This window comes from Homo sapiens, chromosome 1 (assembly GCF_000001405.40).
Source record: "Homo sapiens chromosome 1, GRCh38.p14 Primary Assembly".
Lineage (NCBI taxonomy): Eukaryota > Metazoa > Chordata > Mammalia > Primates > Hominidae > Homo > Homo sapiens.
The window spans coordinates 114,443,823-114,460,458 of record NC_000001.11 but is presented as its reverse complement, the minus strand read 5'-3'; the positions used below and the strand labels follow the sequence as shown (position 1 = coordinate 114,460,458).

The 16,636-nt window shown below is 39.8% G+C and overlaps 1 protein-coding gene and 1 pseudogene across 7 annotated transcripts in view, besides 2 other annotated features; one reads left to right on the top strand and one right to left on the bottom strand.

Annotated features, from left to right (window-relative positions):
- The window catches only part of TRIM33 (tripartite motif containing 33), a 118,414-nt gene that overhangs the window by 50,745 nt on the left and 51,033 nt on the right, over window positions 1-16,636 (top strand). The gene's annotated exons all lie outside the window — the stretch shown is intronic.
- On the bottom strand, window positions 55-567 carry RPL26P10 (ribosomal protein L26 pseudogene 10; annotated as a pseudogene).
- Window positions 1,858-2,152: an enhancer, noted in NCBI's record as "tiled region #2597; HepG2 Activating DNase matched - State 5:Enh, and K562 Activating DNase unmatched - State 14:Gen5'". NCBI's record gives its function as "activates a minimal TATA promoter and a strong SV40 promoter by Sharpr-MPRA in HepG2 and K562 cells {active_cell/tissue: HepG2 | K562}" and the evidence as "EXISTENCE:reporter gene assay evidence [ECO:0000049][PMID:27701403]".
- Window positions 6,658-6,952: a silencer, noted in NCBI's record as "tiled region #2420; K562 Repressive DNase unmatched - State 25:Art". NCBI's record gives its function as "represses a minimal TATA promoter and a strong SV40 promoter by Sharpr-MPRA in K562 cells {active_cell/tissue: K562}" and the evidence as "EXISTENCE:reporter gene assay evidence [ECO:0000049][PMID:27701403]".

Sequence of the window (16,636 nt, the reverse complement as noted above, 5' to 3'; positions counted from 1 at the left end):
TTTTCAGCTTGATGAACTCAGCATGAAGGACTCCATTTTGATTTTTTTTTTCTATTTCAACAGTTTCAATGAAAGTTTGTATATAAGATTACTTTATTCCTGCATCTTCTCAATTGTTTCTTCCTTGTATTTTGGCCTTTTCCTTTCTTACTTGGTGAGATTTGACTTTTTGTTCAAGGATCTTTTTGCGGTCTTTGTCCAGTTTTAACCTAGTGATAACCACTATGCTGGCGTGAATGCCTACGTGGACAGTTGTGCCATTAGCCTTTTCCCATGGCACCTGTTCAGTGTTGATGATATATTTCAAACTTCGACTAAATTGCCAGTTTGCTGACCTTTATAGTGTCCTCGCACAATCTGAAATTTATCATCCTTTTGCATGGGCATGGAATGAACGTTGTACTTCTGTCTTAGCTCTTAGGAAAGAGGGGAGGACATAATCTTCCTATGAATGTGGGAAGGTGCATTGAAACACCTTTTGTGGTTCTTGCTTCAGTCAGAAGTTACAAAGGGATTAAACTTTATTTTGGCCACTCTTGCTTCAGCAGTGGCCACAAAAGGGAAGAGAACTATATGCTACTTCTGGTTCTATCTGTATTTTGATTTTTAGTCTGATCTGTTGGGGCCTAGTGCAGGAGCTTAGTCCAGAACAATGTCCTCCTGTAATTTTTGTTTAACTGTATATATATATGGAGAGAGAGAATTTTTCTTATTTTTTGAAGAGACGGGATCTCACTCTGTTGCTCAGGCTGGACTCAAGCTCTTGGGCTCAAGTGGTTCTTCCACTTCAGTGTCCCACATACCTGGGACTAGAGATGTGTACCACTAGACAACATTTTATTTAATTTTTTAAAAGAGGTTAGATCTTGCTATGTCGCCCAGGCTGGATTTAAACTCTTAGGCTCAAATGATCCTCCTGCCACAGCCTCACCAGTAGCTGAGATTACGGGTGCATATCACCATGCCCAGCTCAACAATATTTTAAAGAATACAAATGAACAACTGGATGAAGAGATGCATAGGGTGAAGTATGTGGGAAGGGGTACAGAGTTTCCACAACACTCTGTGGTGGATGCCTTATCCTCCACGTGTTCAGTAACCTGGAAGCTCTCCAACCCTTGCTCTTTCAGGTTTTTATGGAGATTCATTATTTAGGGATGCGTGATTAAATTGTTGATCGTTTGTGATCATCTCAGCCTTCAGCCCTTCCCTTCCTAGGTTAGGAAGTAGGGCTGAAAGTTCCAACTGTTTAATTATCTGGTTGGTTCCCCTGGCAGCCAGCACCCATCCTGATGGGTCTGGGAGTCCCCAGCCATTGGTCATTTTGTTAACATACAAAAATATACTTATTTCAGAGATTCTGAGGGTTTTAGGAATTGTATGCCAGGAATAGGGACAAAGACCAGAACAAATATATACTAAAATATCACACATTTCTTCTCTTTTGTTCATGCTTTCATTTTATTTTCTCTGGATGGACTGTTGCAGAAACCATGTCATTGGACTTAAAAGCCAGCTTCCCATTACTACAACACATTTACAACTATTCTCCCTACTTTGAGTTTAACTCTGTTAAATTCATCCTGTCTATATTGCTGCCAGGGTTATTTTGCTAACGTATAGTTGAGCCCCCATTAAAAAAATACTTAACAGTAACCAAAGTTTAAGTGTTCAGTATGTTATCACCCAGACAGATTCTCCTTTTCTCCCTGTCCAGAAAAAGTCAATACACTGAGACAGCAGGAGGTGTAGCAGAGAAAGAGTTTAATAATTGCAGAGTGGCTGAGCAAGGAGGATGGGAGATATTTGAGAAATATTTCTCAAATTCCAACTCCTTGAGAATTTGGAGATGAGGGTTTTTAAAGGATAGTTTGGTGGGCAGGGGCTAGGGAATGGGTGCTGCTGATTGCTTGGGTCAGGGATGAAATCATAGAGGTGTCAAAACTGTCTTTGTGCAGTGAGTTATGCTGAGTCACTTCCTGAGTAGGGGTCACAGGACCAGTTGAATTAGTCTCTTGGTATGGATCACCAGCCTGGGTGGTAGCAGTTAGTCCAGCAGAATGCAGAGTCTGAAAAATATCTCAAACACTAGTCTTAGATTTCACAATAGTGATCTTATCTATAGGGGAAGTTAGAAATCTTGTGACCACTTGCTAGTGACTCCTGAGCAATAAGCAATTATAAAAAACAAGACAGGGAACAATGGTTGCTGTTTATGCCTAAATCTTAGCAGAATTTAGGCTCCTACTGTAATTCTAACCTTATAGCCTTTCATTAGCTTTACAAAGGTGGTTTCAGTCCCTGAACAAGGAGGGTATTAGTTTCAGGAAGAAACTATTATGCTTGCTTTAAACTATAAAATAAATTCCTCCCATAGTTAGGTTGGCCCACATATGGGAATGAGCAAAGACAGCTTGTGAGGTTAGAAGCAAGGTGGAGTCAGTTGTGTTAGATTTCTCTCACTGTTATAATTTTGCAAAGGCAGTTGCAAGTATAACATACATTATTGAATTTTACCAGTGTCTTTCTTCATTGTCTGTTCAAAGTTACGAAACAGTCCACAAGATCACCATTACTTCTGACACCAACTGCAGAGTTCCGTGAAAACCCAAACATAGGGGAAAATCACATGCCCGCTGAGTTGATTTTTTACCTTCTGTAATCACAGTGGTGGCCCTCCAAACAAGATGCTGTCCATTCACCTTGGAATTGTCCATAAACCAAACTGCTCTTTACTGATTAATAGAAAGTAGTTTATAGTGTAGCACCCATCCGATCACAGGATCAGCAGCTCCTCAGGTAGTTTCAAAGTCAGCCTTAGGGAAAAAGAAGCTACCTGCTTATAAATATAATGAGTACCTCTTTGCATTCTCCTGGTTGTAAATCCTGTGCAAACTATTTCTATTTTATAGGGAACTCTTCTGGACACTGCCTTCCTTATTAGTGTTTCTCCGACATCACCTAAGATATTATGGCTGTTTTGAATTTCAGGATTATTTTATGTCCTTCAGTCATAGATTCAGTCTCAGTTAATGCCTGTAGTAGCTATTTTTTTCTACAGTGTTGTACATTGTACTATGGCATCTGGACATCTTCTGGTCCAAAAATCCTAGTGGTTGCTGCTGGGTGGCACTCATAGGGTTTTGCCCATAAGCTGTAGTCTGCATTAGTATGTGTGGCTGACACTTCCCAAAATCATGGCGGAATGTCCATAGGGCCGGACATGGACAAAATCATGGCGGATCATAGGGCTGGAAAGTATTTAGAGAGACTACTTTCTGCAGTTCAGATACAGCCTGTCTTTGATCAGGCCTCATTGAAATGTAGGCCTCTTTTTGGGAGTTTTATTGATAGGAGCAAGCAGTATTCCCAGATATGGAATATGTGTCCTTCAAAACACGGATATACCCAACCAAACACTGGGCTTCTTATTTAGTGCTGGGGTAGGTGGCTACAGCAGTATATTTTTCTTTCTCTGTTGAGTATCACAGGATGCTTCTACTCTGGTTATTTCTAAGGATTTTTTCACCATTTAGGCATGCCGTTAGACCTTTGCTGGATTTATCATACAGCTCCTGTTGGTCACATGTCATCACTGCTTTTTTCCCCTAATTCCCCAAACTTTTTATCACCATTGCGTTTAAATTAGTCCTGCCTTGGTCTTCAGTTTCTGATAGTATCATGACATCATCAGTATACTATATTATTACATGTGGGGACCCGAATCAACTCTAAATTTCTCCTAATCAAATTATGACAGTAAGCTGGTGAGTGGAAATAACCCTGTGGTGATAGAGTAAGTGCAAATTGGGATCTCTCCCACTCAAAGGCAAATTGTGGTTGGCTCTTTTTGAGGATGGAGGTAAAATAAAAAAAGAAATTCACAAGATTAGTCCCTGAGTACTGTTTTCCTTTGGCCTGCTATATATTTTATATGTTTTTTGTACTGTTGAGACCATATTAGGAACTGCTGATGCTATGGCGGAACTACTTCAGGCTTTCATAGTTCACTGTTAGTCTCCATGAGCCATCTGCTTTTTTCATAGGCCACACAGGATTATTGTACAAAGAATTCATTGGCACCAGCACTCCGTTGTCTAATTCTTCATTAAAATGGTAATTTCTTTTTGTCCAACAGGTAATTTCATCAGGCAGTACCTTACACTGTCCAAAATTAACAACTTCTGAGGGCCTGGGTGGTTCTGGTGGTTCCTAATTAGCATTTCTCATCAACATTGACCTCAAGGTGAACTTACGTGCTTTCTGTTTTCAATATTAGACAGGTGTACTTTTCAGTCAAACATACTGTCTATCCCAATAGTACATTCAGGTAATGAAGACGTAACCACCTCACATAAAGGCAGCTGAGACATTCTAGTTTTAATCTAAATGTTTACCTTAATCCCATTAGCTGTCACCTTTCAATTTAACCTTAACACCTGTTAGGACTTCAACAAGATTTAGAATTATGGTGCCTTGGGCCTCCCTGTCAAGGAGTTTTAGTAAGGTCTCTTATCTACCCCTGGCATTTTTACCCACACGTGTATATTGCCTTAGTTCCCCAGTTGCTGGTTGACCTCTCTGTCTTCATCTTGAGTAATCTGCCAGACTATTGTCCCAGGCAATTTGAGGTCAGGTTGCTTATTGTCATCTTTGTTCCCTGGCTTTTTAAATCTTCCCAAACTGGGGTAAAATACAGCATAGTTAGTTTAAGGCCCTTTAATGTTGGGAACTAGCTGGGGCTCTCATTGGTTTATCCAGTCCCATGGTAATGCTGCATTAAGACCTTTGTTTCAATTCCATCTGTGTTCAATTTATTCATCCCATTTTAAAACAACCATCTGTAGATTTCCATCTTCCTGGGATAAATTCCTTGACCTCTACTCTACTATTTCCCTGTTTTCTTATGACTTAACTCTGATTTTCTTAGCATCTGTTAAGACCTGTAAAGGGAAGCTTAGACAATACTTCTGATAAGGCTTCTCAGATTATTGCTAGATTTTACAGCAGTAAGGTTACATGGGGGTATCCATGCAAAAGGGGCCCCCTCAATCACAGTATTTACCATATACCATAAGGCATACTGAGTCATAGTCATGTCACTCATAGTCATCTCCTGACTATCCCATCATCATGTCAGTCCAGTGTAGCTTGCATAAGAAGCTTATCAGCTGCTTATTCTGGGGAGTTCAATTTGGCATTTATAGGAGGAGGAGGATAGTTGCCCTTTTCAAGGTAAACACACTTTACAGTGGCTTTTATATCTAGTCCACTGGGCTAGCTGTCCCCTTGGGAATAACCTGCTGGTGTGTCTGGATCATGTATAGCCTTCTCTGGTTGTACAGTAGTGAGCTGTGGGTCTCGCTTCAACCTAGACACACTCTTCCATTCTACAGCATTAAAAACCAAAGATCCTGTGCCTCTAAGTCAATCACTGTCACAGTCCATTTTAGTAAAGGTTTTTATTCCAGAAGCTGATAGTGTTGATCAACAAAATGAGACAATTTGTACTATAATCCCTGGTTTCAGTAGTTTCTTGGTTTTGTCTTTCTCATACCTAGACTACCTCCTTGTAACTGGAAGTCACAGACATGCTATCTAATGTTCCAGCATAATTTTTCCTTTTGGAGTGACCCTGAGACTAGTGACTGCAGCCCAGACTGGCTGAAGTCTGAGCTTGGCCCAGTGTCAAGATCTGTCCTAACATTCTCTTGTATTTTCATTTTAGCTAGTACAGGTAGCAGTAACAAAGGAATTGTTTCATTAACTTTTTTTTTTTTTTTTTAGAGGAGTCTTGTGCTATTGCCCAGGCTTCGAGTGCAGTGGCTCACTGAAGGCTTGAATTCCTGGGCTCAAGCAGTTCTCTCACTTCAGACACCTGAGTAGTTGGGACTACAAGCATGTGCCACCACATCTGGCTAATTTTTTATTTTTTTGTAGAGATGAAGACTTCCTATGTTGCCCAGGCTGGTCTTGAACTCCTGGGCTCAAGCAGTCCTTCCTCCAGGACCTCTCAAAGTACTTGGTATATAGGCATGAGCCACCATGCCTGGCCTACTTTTTTTCTTATTAGTTTGCATTTCCTTGTTTATCTGGTGGTTCAACTCCTCTGGAATTGGGTCTACCATTTCTAAATTCCATTGGTAATTTTTACCTCTAGTAACTGCAGCTGCAGTTATACAACCATACCATGACTGGGTACCCATCCAAGAATTAAAGGTTTATCAATTCCCACCTTCTCATCCTCCCTCTTCGCAAACCACCTGTTTTAGTAAGCCAGGGTCATTCAATTGATCCCACTTCTGATGCTAACTATAAAATTAGAGAGTAATCCACGAGACTCCTTTCACTTCTGACACCACTTGTAAGATCAAGATTCCCTAAAACTACACTCAGGTTTGATAATTTGCTAGAATTTACAGAACTCACTGCAAGCTGTTATACTCACAGTTATGTTTATTACAGTGAAAGGATACAGATTAAAATCATCCAAGGGAAAGATGCACAGGGCAGAGTCCAGGAGAGTTCCAAATGTGAAGTTTCCAGTTGTCTTCTCCCAGTGGAGCCATGGACATCATAAACACCTCCTGATAGTGATGTGTGACAGTGTGCACAAAATATTGCCAGCCATGGAATCTCACCTAAACCTTGGTGTCCAGAATTTTTATTGGGTCAGTCTCTGTCACATAGATGTGGTTCACCAGCCACATGGTAGACCTCAGTCTCCAGGACAGCTCCTCCTGAGGTTGATATGAGACTGTGTGACCCAGAGCTCCCACTGTAAATCAGATTGTTGACACAGACTATCTAGCTTGGCTCAAGTCCCCAGGCAAACAAAGATAATTTCATCAGGCAGGACATTTCAGGGGGTTAGAGATTACCTGCCAGGGACTGAAGGCAAAGGCTAGATCTCTCTTTGGGCAAAGTTAACTTTTTTACTAAACAATCTCTTATCTTCCACTTACACTTTAGTAGCAAGAACCCTCTACCTAACCCTCCAACTTTGTACATGCGGTTTCTTAGACCTGTATTTATTAGGAGAGCCATTTAACCTTAAAACGAGTTCACCTCTTTGTATCTTTTTTTTTTTTTTTCCTGAGACAGACTCTCTCTGTTGCCCAGGCTGGAGTGCAGTGGCATGATCTCGGCTCACTGCAACCTCTGCCTCCTGGATTCAAGTGATTCTCATGCCTCAGCTTCCCGAGTAGCTGGGATTACAGGTGGACATCACCACGCCTGGCTAATTTTTGTATTTTTAGTAGAGATGCAGTTTTGCCATGTTGGTCAGGCTGGTCTCAAACTCCTGGCCTTAAGTGATCTGCCCACCTCGGCTTCCCAAAGTGCTGCGATTACAGGCATGAGCCACTGTGCCTATCCACTTCTGTGTGTCTTAACTAACGCTTTCTGCTCCATTCTTTTCCCTCCCTACCAACACCCCCTCTTCCTCGCTCTGGACTTAAGGACTTTTAGGGCGAGTTCTTTAAGAATCTCAATTTCTTATACGCTTATTGAGTCAGTCAGGTCTTCTGTCTCTTCTGGGTTGTTTGTTTTTAGGAGACAGGGTGTCTTGCTCTGTCACCCAGGCTGGAGTGTAGTGGCATGATCATAGCTCATTGTAACCTTGAACCTCCTGGGCTCAAGTGATCCTCCTGCCTCAGCCTTCCAAATTGTTATGACTACAGGTGTATACTACCATCCCTGGCTAATTTTTTTTTTTTTTTTTTTTTTTTTAAGAGATGGGGTCTTGCCATGTTGCCCGGGTCTTGAACTCCTGGCCTCAAGCAGTCCTCCTGCCTTGGCCTCCCAAATTGTTGGGATTACACTTATAAGCCACTGCACCCAGCTCCCATCTCTTCTTGAGTCAACTTTGCAATTGTGATAATTTATATTTTGTTAGAAAATTATTTAGTAGAGGTTAAAAAATGTTGAATTAAACATTAAGATTTTATGAAGATCTGTAGTTATATCTTATGATTGTTTATTATTATTATTACTTTTTTGAGACAGAGTCTCACTCTGTTGCCAGGCTGGAGTGTAGTGGCGTGATCTGGGCTCACTGCAACCTCCGCCTCCCGGTTTCAAGCGATTCTCCTGCCTCAGCCTCCTGAGTAGCTTGGACTACAGGCGCACACCACCACGCCCAGCTACTTTTTGTATTTTTAGTAGAGACGGGGTTTCACCATGTTGGCCAGGATGGTCTCAATCTCTCGACCTCGTGATCCGCCCACCAGTGCTGGGATTACAGGCATGAGCCACCATGCCCAGCCTGTTTATGATGTTTTCTAGCTGAGTTTATTTCCTGTTCTTTATTAGATTGGCCATAAGTTTGTGGTCTTTATTGGTCATTTTAGTGACCCAGTTTTTTAATTCATTTATTCTTTAGAAGTGTTCTGATCCTCACAGTTTTCTTTTATCTTTATTAATTTTTTGCTTAGTTTGATTTTGCTGTATTCTTTTTAGAATCTTATGTGAAACCTCAGTTAATCAAAAAGATGTAAATTTTCCTCTGAATTTAGCTTCATTCCATAATCATCCATTTATACAGTCTAAAACTGTGTTTTGTTTTTTCTTGCCTCTCCCTGCTTTTTAAAATTTTTGTTTAAATTAAAATAATTGCTGCATAGTGAAAAAGATGAGCTATGTTTTGTGTGTATATCTTTTAAGTGAAATATACTGCCAACTTTATAAGGTTGTTGTGAGGATTACAAGCACTGAGAATTGTACCTATAAAGTGCTTAGCATAGTAAGCACTCAATAACAGTTTAGCTATTATTGGCTGTTATTACAGTTGCAGCCCACATGTTTTATTTTTTTCTCTTTATTTAAATTTTTTTTTTAATTGAAGTCTTCGATTTACTTTATGGCTTTAGAAGTTGTTTTGAAAAAGGAAAGCAGCTATAGAACTGCATGAAATTTTGTACCTGAGAACATTACTAGGTTTCTAGATAAACCATGGGGTTTTTCCATCTCCCTCCAAAAATTCTATTCACATTAAAGGAATTAAAAAATCTGTAGACTTACAAAGACTAAGAATGGGAGAAGAGACATCAATGGGGATTTCAGTCCTTTTTTTTTTTTTTTTTTAAAGCAGGGTAATGAATGGAAGATTTGGTGGATCTGATATTTGACCTAATGGGATTGAATGATCTAAGGCCATGCAAAGGAGATATGAAGGAAGCCAATCAATATATTTCTCAGGAACCTGTAATACCTAGTACCTAGAGATGATAGGTGTCACAAAAAATGGACCTATTCTCTGGAGAAATAAAATCAGAGAGGCACTGGACTTGGGGATATTAGGTCCACATGGGGAGGAAGTACCAGGCTGAAATCAGGGAGATTAAGTATAAATCTGTCCATTAAGCTCTGGGGACCTTCAGTCTCCCTGACTTGCTTCCATATTGCTAGTAATGGCGCTTTTTCATTTCACTGTCCCTTCCTACCTCTCTTTTAGGATTTAGAGACCTTTTCACCCTCGGAAGAATATTTAAAAGAAAAAAATTACGAGTTCCAGCAGACCAGTATAAATTATAGAAAAAAGAAAACAAATGTTGGGAAATTATTAGATAACTATTGCAAGAAATTCATCTAAGAATGTAGAGTCACCAGGATAAAATGTCCCATTTAATGCCCAGAACAATGATTTTTAAAAAGACCCATATCAAGGTGTATAACATCATAAAATGATAGTATGCTATGGATTAAGGTTAAGATCAGTGAAGTTTCCAAAACCAGCAATGAAATAGGAATCAAAATAGGAACGTTAGGCCAGACATGGTGGCTCATACCTGTAGTCCTAGCACTTTGGGAGGCCAAGGCAGGCAGATCACTTGAGCTCAGGAGTTCAAGACCAGCCTGGGCAACATGGTGAAACCCCATCTCTACTAAAAATACAAAAAAATTCTAGTAAATTTTTAGTTTCCAAAGCCAGCAATGAAATAGGAATCAAAATAGGAACGTTAGTCCGGGTGTGGTGGTGCATGCTTGTAGTCCCAGCTACTCGGGAGGCTGACGCACGAGAATCACTTGAACCCAGGAGGTAGACGTTGCAGTAAGCTGAGATCATGCCACTGCACTCCAGCCTGGGTGACAGATTGAGACTTTGTCTCCAAAAACAAAACAAAACAAAACAACAGGATTGTTAAAAGAAAGTCGGGAGATGAAGGGCAAAGGTTTTCAATCTAGTATTCTCTTTTTTTGAGACGGAATTTTGCTCTTGTTGCCCAGGCTGGAGTGCGATGGTGCGGTCTTGGCTCACTGCAACCTCTGCCCCTGCCGGGTGCAAGCGATTCTCCTGCCTCAGCCTCCCAAGTAGCTGGGGTTACAGGCGTGAGCCACCATGCCCAGCCTTGATCTAGAATTCTGTAGCTAAAGTATAAATCAATGTGAGAATAAAATGTAGACATGTTTCATCATGCAAGTATTGAGAAGCTTTGCCTCTTATGTACCTCTTTTTGGAAAGCCATTAGAGAATGTGATTCACCAAAATAAGTTAGTAAACCAAGAAAGTAAAAGGTAAGGGAATGCCTAAAATGACAGCCATGGGGTAAGATAATTTAGAATGAGGAATGAAAACTGAGGATCCTGTGAAGAAGGTCTCCAGGAAAAAAATGGAACCATGTCTATTAAATTTGTTATATTGGGTCATTTGAAAAATAATGCTGACAAGTTTGGCATGTGGTAGTTCATGAGAAACATTAGCGATTGCAGCATGGGGCAAGATGGAATAAATTTGGAGAGAATATATTTTGGAGAAATGTATTTATTTCTCCTGAAATGAATAGTCACTTTTAAGACCACACTCTCTTACTCTTCAATCCTCGTTTGAGGTGGAGATAGGGTTGACTCGCTGAAACTAGAATTTCTTTTCCATTGACAGTTTTACAAGAGGAAGACCCAAACTGCATCCTTCATTACCACCACCATTTGCAGCCTCTCCATCATTATCAGCCTTGTATCTACTAGACTAATATTGTTACATTTTTTATCTGTATTTTTCTGTTACCCAAGAGAGTGCCACAAGTGCCACACTCCCAGACGTCCCCTCATCTGTCACACTTTAATTCCATAGGCTCTACATGTGCCTGATTCTGCCACTTTGTCCTTTGGAATTGTTGGCATGTCATCAGAATCTGCATATCCCCAGCCTCTTTTTTGATCCTTTTCTTTGCTTTATTTGGCATAATGGACACTGCTTCTCTTGCAACTGTCGTGACTGGTGACTTTTTTTTTCTTTCACATCTCGTGTATGACTGGGCCTGGAGGTATGAGATACGTCTTTTTACTGTTTTTTTTAGACCATTCTTTCTCTTTACTCCCTGAAATATCCGGATTTTAATTTCATGTCATCACCCATAACCTCTCATTGCTGCTGTCATCTAAAAACCCTTGGGTCATTCCCCTTCATCTCTCAAAGGTTTTTTTCCCTAACTCAGTGGTAAACTGTAGAATGCTACTATTAAGTCCTAGCAATTTTAATATATGTGGATTTGATCCTTCAGACACTCTAGTCTTTGTGTTCTTTGACCTCCTTTCCAGTGTTCTTGTCATTTACACTGCTGTAGCCACTCATATGCATAGTCATATACTAGATCTTATCATTTGTAATAATTCTATTCAATTTTAAGCATTCCTCTCTGTGGCCACATCTGTTACTCCAGCTCATTCTGCTTAGTACGAAACTTCTACAATTATTCAACCACACAGTGACTTTTATTTTAATCCATTGATCCTACTACCCTTTCACTTTACCTCATCCCTTTGTGATCTCATTTAACTCCTTCCTTATTTAATGTCATAGCTAATCAGTTTAATCACTCCCTTGCATTTAGCCTTGACTCCCATATCCCACTTTTTGAATTCACTTGGCATAACTACAGTCCTGATTAAACCCGACTTCCTTCCTATCATATTTTGTTTATCCAGCTGAATATCACAGGAGAAAAACACATTCTAGCATAATGATACCAATAGGTCACATTCTCAATTCCTGACCACTTCCCTCAAGTAGACCGTTAATGTTGTCTGGAAGTCATATTGTATATTCATACCTTTCCCTCTTTTAAATGTCAAATACTTCATCCTCACTCTGAAATACTGGCATTTGCTTCCAACTTCACTGAGAAAATTGAAGCTATCAAAAGAGAACTACAGACTCCCTCTACCACATCTACTTTTCCAACAAGCACCTGTACCCATATTTCTACATTTCTGTTATCTTAGATGAACTCTCTTCCTTTAGAAAGCTAATTTCTCTACTTATACACTGAGTTCCATCCCCTCTCATGTAGCCAATGACATTGTTTCAGAAATTTGCCCTTCTTTCTGCTAACCTGTCAGTTTTTCAGTCTCTAACAATTATTCCTATATTTCAGTATGCTGCTGTTTTTCTTCCATTTTTAAAAATGAAACACGAATCCTTCTCTTTAACTTCCTTTCCTTGCCATCAGAGCTGTCCCTGAAAAACTTCTTGAAAGAATTGCTTGTAATTATGGTCTCTAATTCCTCCTGTCCCATTCTGTGTAAATTTACATGCTTTTGACTGTCAGCATTGTACCAACATTGCTCTTTTCAAGGTCATGAATAACCACTACATGACTAAATTTAGAAGTGTTTTCTCAGTTTTCATCTTGATACCTTATTGTATCAGCAGTATTTCACATGTTTAATGTTCCTTTTAACACATTTATGTACTTGGCTACCAGAAGAACACATTGTTTTCATTTTCTTCCTACTAATTACTGATTACTTTTTCTCAATCTCATTTGCTTATTTTGTTTGTTCTTCTAGGTTGGATGTACGAGGGTTTACACCATTATCTATACGTATAGTCTTAGGGCTTAAAATACCATCTATATGTTATTGATTTCCAAATTTATATTTCTAGCTCATTGTTTATTCCTGAACTTTCAGATTTGTCTGCCCTACAGACTCTGACATCTCCCACTTGAATGTCTACTTTTTCAAACATAACGCTTCCAAAACTCAACTACTGATCACTTTCTCCAAACCTTTTTTCACTGGTAGCCTTTCCTCATCTCAGTTTGGCAGTTGCATTTTTTTTTTCAGTTGCATAGGCCAAAAATCTTGGCACCATCCTCGACTCTACTTGTTTCTCATACCCAAATCCAAACTTATCAGGAAATCCTTTTGGCTTCACCTTCAAAATATATCACCAACTCCTACCACGTACTACCTCTGTTGCCTCTACCCTGGTCTCTGCCACCATCATTTCTTGCCTAGATTACTGCAGTAGTCTCTATGCTTCTAATACTACCTCTCTTCCATTTATTCTTAATACAACTGCTAGAGTGAATCCTAAGTTGGGCTGTATCACTCCCCTGCTCAAAACCTGCAGTGACTCTTCAGTCAATCTTTATAGTGGCTTTAAAGACCTTATACACGCATTTTATCTGCTACTACTCTGCCTATCCCTCCATCTCTGCTACAGCTACACTGGCTTTCTTGCTACTTCTCAAACATTTCAACCTTCTGGGTTTAAGCAATCCTTCTGCCTCAGCCTCCCAAGTAGCTGAGACCACATACAGCTAATTTTTGTAATTTTTATAGAGATGGGGTCTTGCCATGTTGCCTGGGCTGGTCTCGAACTCCTGGGCTCAAGTGTGATCCTCTCGCCTCTGCCTCCCGAAGTGTTGGGATGACAGGCATGAGCCACCATGCCAGGCTCCTTTCTCTGTTTTTTAATTGGAATGTATAATCTTGTTATATTTAATATAACTTGTGATATGGTTAAATCTACCATTTAGTATTTGTTTTTTATTTCTCTTTTTTTGTGTTTTGTTCTTTTGTTGTCTCTTTGCTGCATTATTTTAAGTTTATAAATAGTTTTTGGTGTTCCATTTTACATCTACTGTTGGCTTTTTAAGCTGTACTTTATTATTTTTAGCGATTGCTGTGGGGATAGTGATATGCAATTTTAACTTAATGTCTACTTAAAATATTGTATGGTTTTAGTAACTTTACAAAAGGATTATTCATTTTACTCAATTACTATCCTTTGTACTATTGCCACATCATTTATTCATGCATTATATACCTTAACATACAATACTTAAAAAAAAAAGCTGTCTTTTAAGGAAGTTATGAGAAGAGAAAGTAAAAGCTGGTGTTTCATATTTACCAATTTATTACCATTTCTGTTTCACTTTATTCCTTCCAGTATATATGAGTTTCTGTCTCTTATATTCCTTTGGTCTAATGAATATTCTCCAGCATTTCTTGTTTTGCAGGTTTGCTGACAATGAATACTCTCATCTTCTTGTCATATGAAAATCCTCAATTTAAGCTGGGCACAGTGGCTCACTCCTGTAATCCCAGCACTTTGGGAAGCTGAGGCAGGTGGATTGCCTGAGCTCAGGAGTTCGAGACCAGTCTGGGCAACATGGTGAAACCCTGTCTACTAAAATACAAAAAATTAGCTGGGCGTGGGAACATGTGCCTGTAGTCCCAGCTACCTGGGAGGCTGAGGCAGGAGAATTGCTTGAACCCAGGAGGCGGAGGTTGCAGTGAGCTGAGATCACCCCACTGCACTCCAGCCTGGGTGATCAAGCGAGACTCTGTCTCAAAAACAAAAACAAAAAAAATCTTCAATTTAGAAGGATAATTTGCTCTAGAATTCTGGGTGGGCAGTTTTTTCTTTCAACATTGAAAAGATATTGATATTACTACTTTGTATTCTGGCTTCCATTGTTTTGGATGTCACTCGTATTGTTCCTTCCTGAATGTTTTATGGCTTTTCTCTGGCTGCTTTCAAGATTTCCTCTTTTTCTTTGGCCTTTCCCTTTTGACCATGGAGTTTTTAGATATGTTTGTCTTTCTGTTTATCCTCTGTGGCGTTCGCTGAGCTGATTTTCATCAAATTTGGGAAATTGGCCATTATTCCTCAAAACAGATTTTCCAGCCAGTTGTGGTAGCTCACGCCTGTAATCCCAGGAATTTGGGATGCTGAGGTGAGAGGATCACTTTACCCCAGGGGTTCAAGACCAGCCTGGGCAACATAGTAAGACCCCATCTCTACCAGAAAATTTTTTAAAATTAGCCAGGCATGGCAGTGCTTGCTTGTAGTCCCAGCTACTTGGGAGGCTGAGGTGGGAGGATCGCTTGAGGCCAGGAGGTTGAGGCTGCAGTGAGCTGTGATCATGCCACTGTGCTCACTCCAGCTTGGGTGAGAGAGTGAGACCTATCTCCAAAAACAAAAAACACCCCAAGTCTCCTAGGACTTCAGTTACACGTATGTTAGACTATTTGATTTTGTCACAAGGGTCCCTGATGATTGTTCATTTTTCTTGAATTTATTCTCTCCCTCTCTTCTTCACACTGGATACTTTTTATTGATGTGTGTTGATGGTCACATACCCTTTCTTCAGACATCTCCCATTTGCTGCTAAGTCCATCCAGTGACGTTTTTCATTTCAGTTATTGTACTTTTCTAGAATTTCCTTTTTTTCTTTTAGTAGTTTCCATCTATCTGTTGAGATTTCCTGTCAGTTTGTTCACTAAGAACCTATGTTCATTTAAAGGTTTGAATAAATATACAATAGCCCATTTAAACTTTTAGCTCATTACAGCATCTAGATCATCTTGGTGTCAATTTGTATTGAGTACTTTTTTCTTTGCTGTGAGTTAGGCTTTCCTATTTCTTTGAATGCCTGATAATTTTTTATTGTGATTTGGACATTGTGGACAATACACTGTAGAAATTCTAGAAATTTTATCTTCCTCTGAAGACTTGATTGTTCTTGTAGGCATTTAAATTACTGTAAGCTTGTGTATGCTTGGTTTTATGCTTTGTTAGGGAAGATCTGTAGAAAGCCCAAGTCATTTCCCAAGCCTTTCTAAGTTGGTGGTACCCAATTTCTGAACCTTGTTTCTTAGACGATCTTGTCAAGGCTTGGTTTTATTTAGGTTTTGTTAGGACAGGCCTAAGGTACAGCTTACTCCAGGGTATAGTCCTTTAAGGGTGACCTTTCTGGTTTCTCAGGTAGATCCCAGGGAGATTAACAAAGTCTGTCTCCTCTGAAGATAGAATTCAAGCTGAGTTCTTCTAGAAATCCATGACCTCTAGTTCTTCTCTTCCAGTGTCAACTTTATAGCAACGGCAGTCTGCTAAACTTTGTGTAATCTCACCCTGTCATATATAGCCCAGACTTTGACCAAGAACTTGTGAGGAATTCACACATATTCAATATCTTCTCTTCCCTCTATCTACCCTCTGTTCCCCATTCTCATCCTACATCATTCCCTCCATTCCAGTGCCCTGCCCCGTGGATTTCAGCCACTCATGAGCCCACACCGTGATTTTTGCCTCTGCTCTACTTCGCCTCTAGCCCCCTGTTCCAGTTATCATAAAATTGTCTACAGACAGAGAGGTAGGATGATTATGATGCTCTTTAAAGGAATGTAAATTTTTGTCTGCATGTGGTTCAGTGACTGAATATAGTTGCCTCATGTATTTCTGTCTTCTTTTATAGTTTTTGGTGACAAGGGCTAGTCTGGTACCAGTCACTGTGTCCTGGCTGAAAGTGAAAGTCACCTTTGTTCCACCTTCATACATTAATTTTTTTTTTTTTTAAGAAACAGGGTCTCACTGTGTTGCCCAGGCTGGTCTCGAACTCCT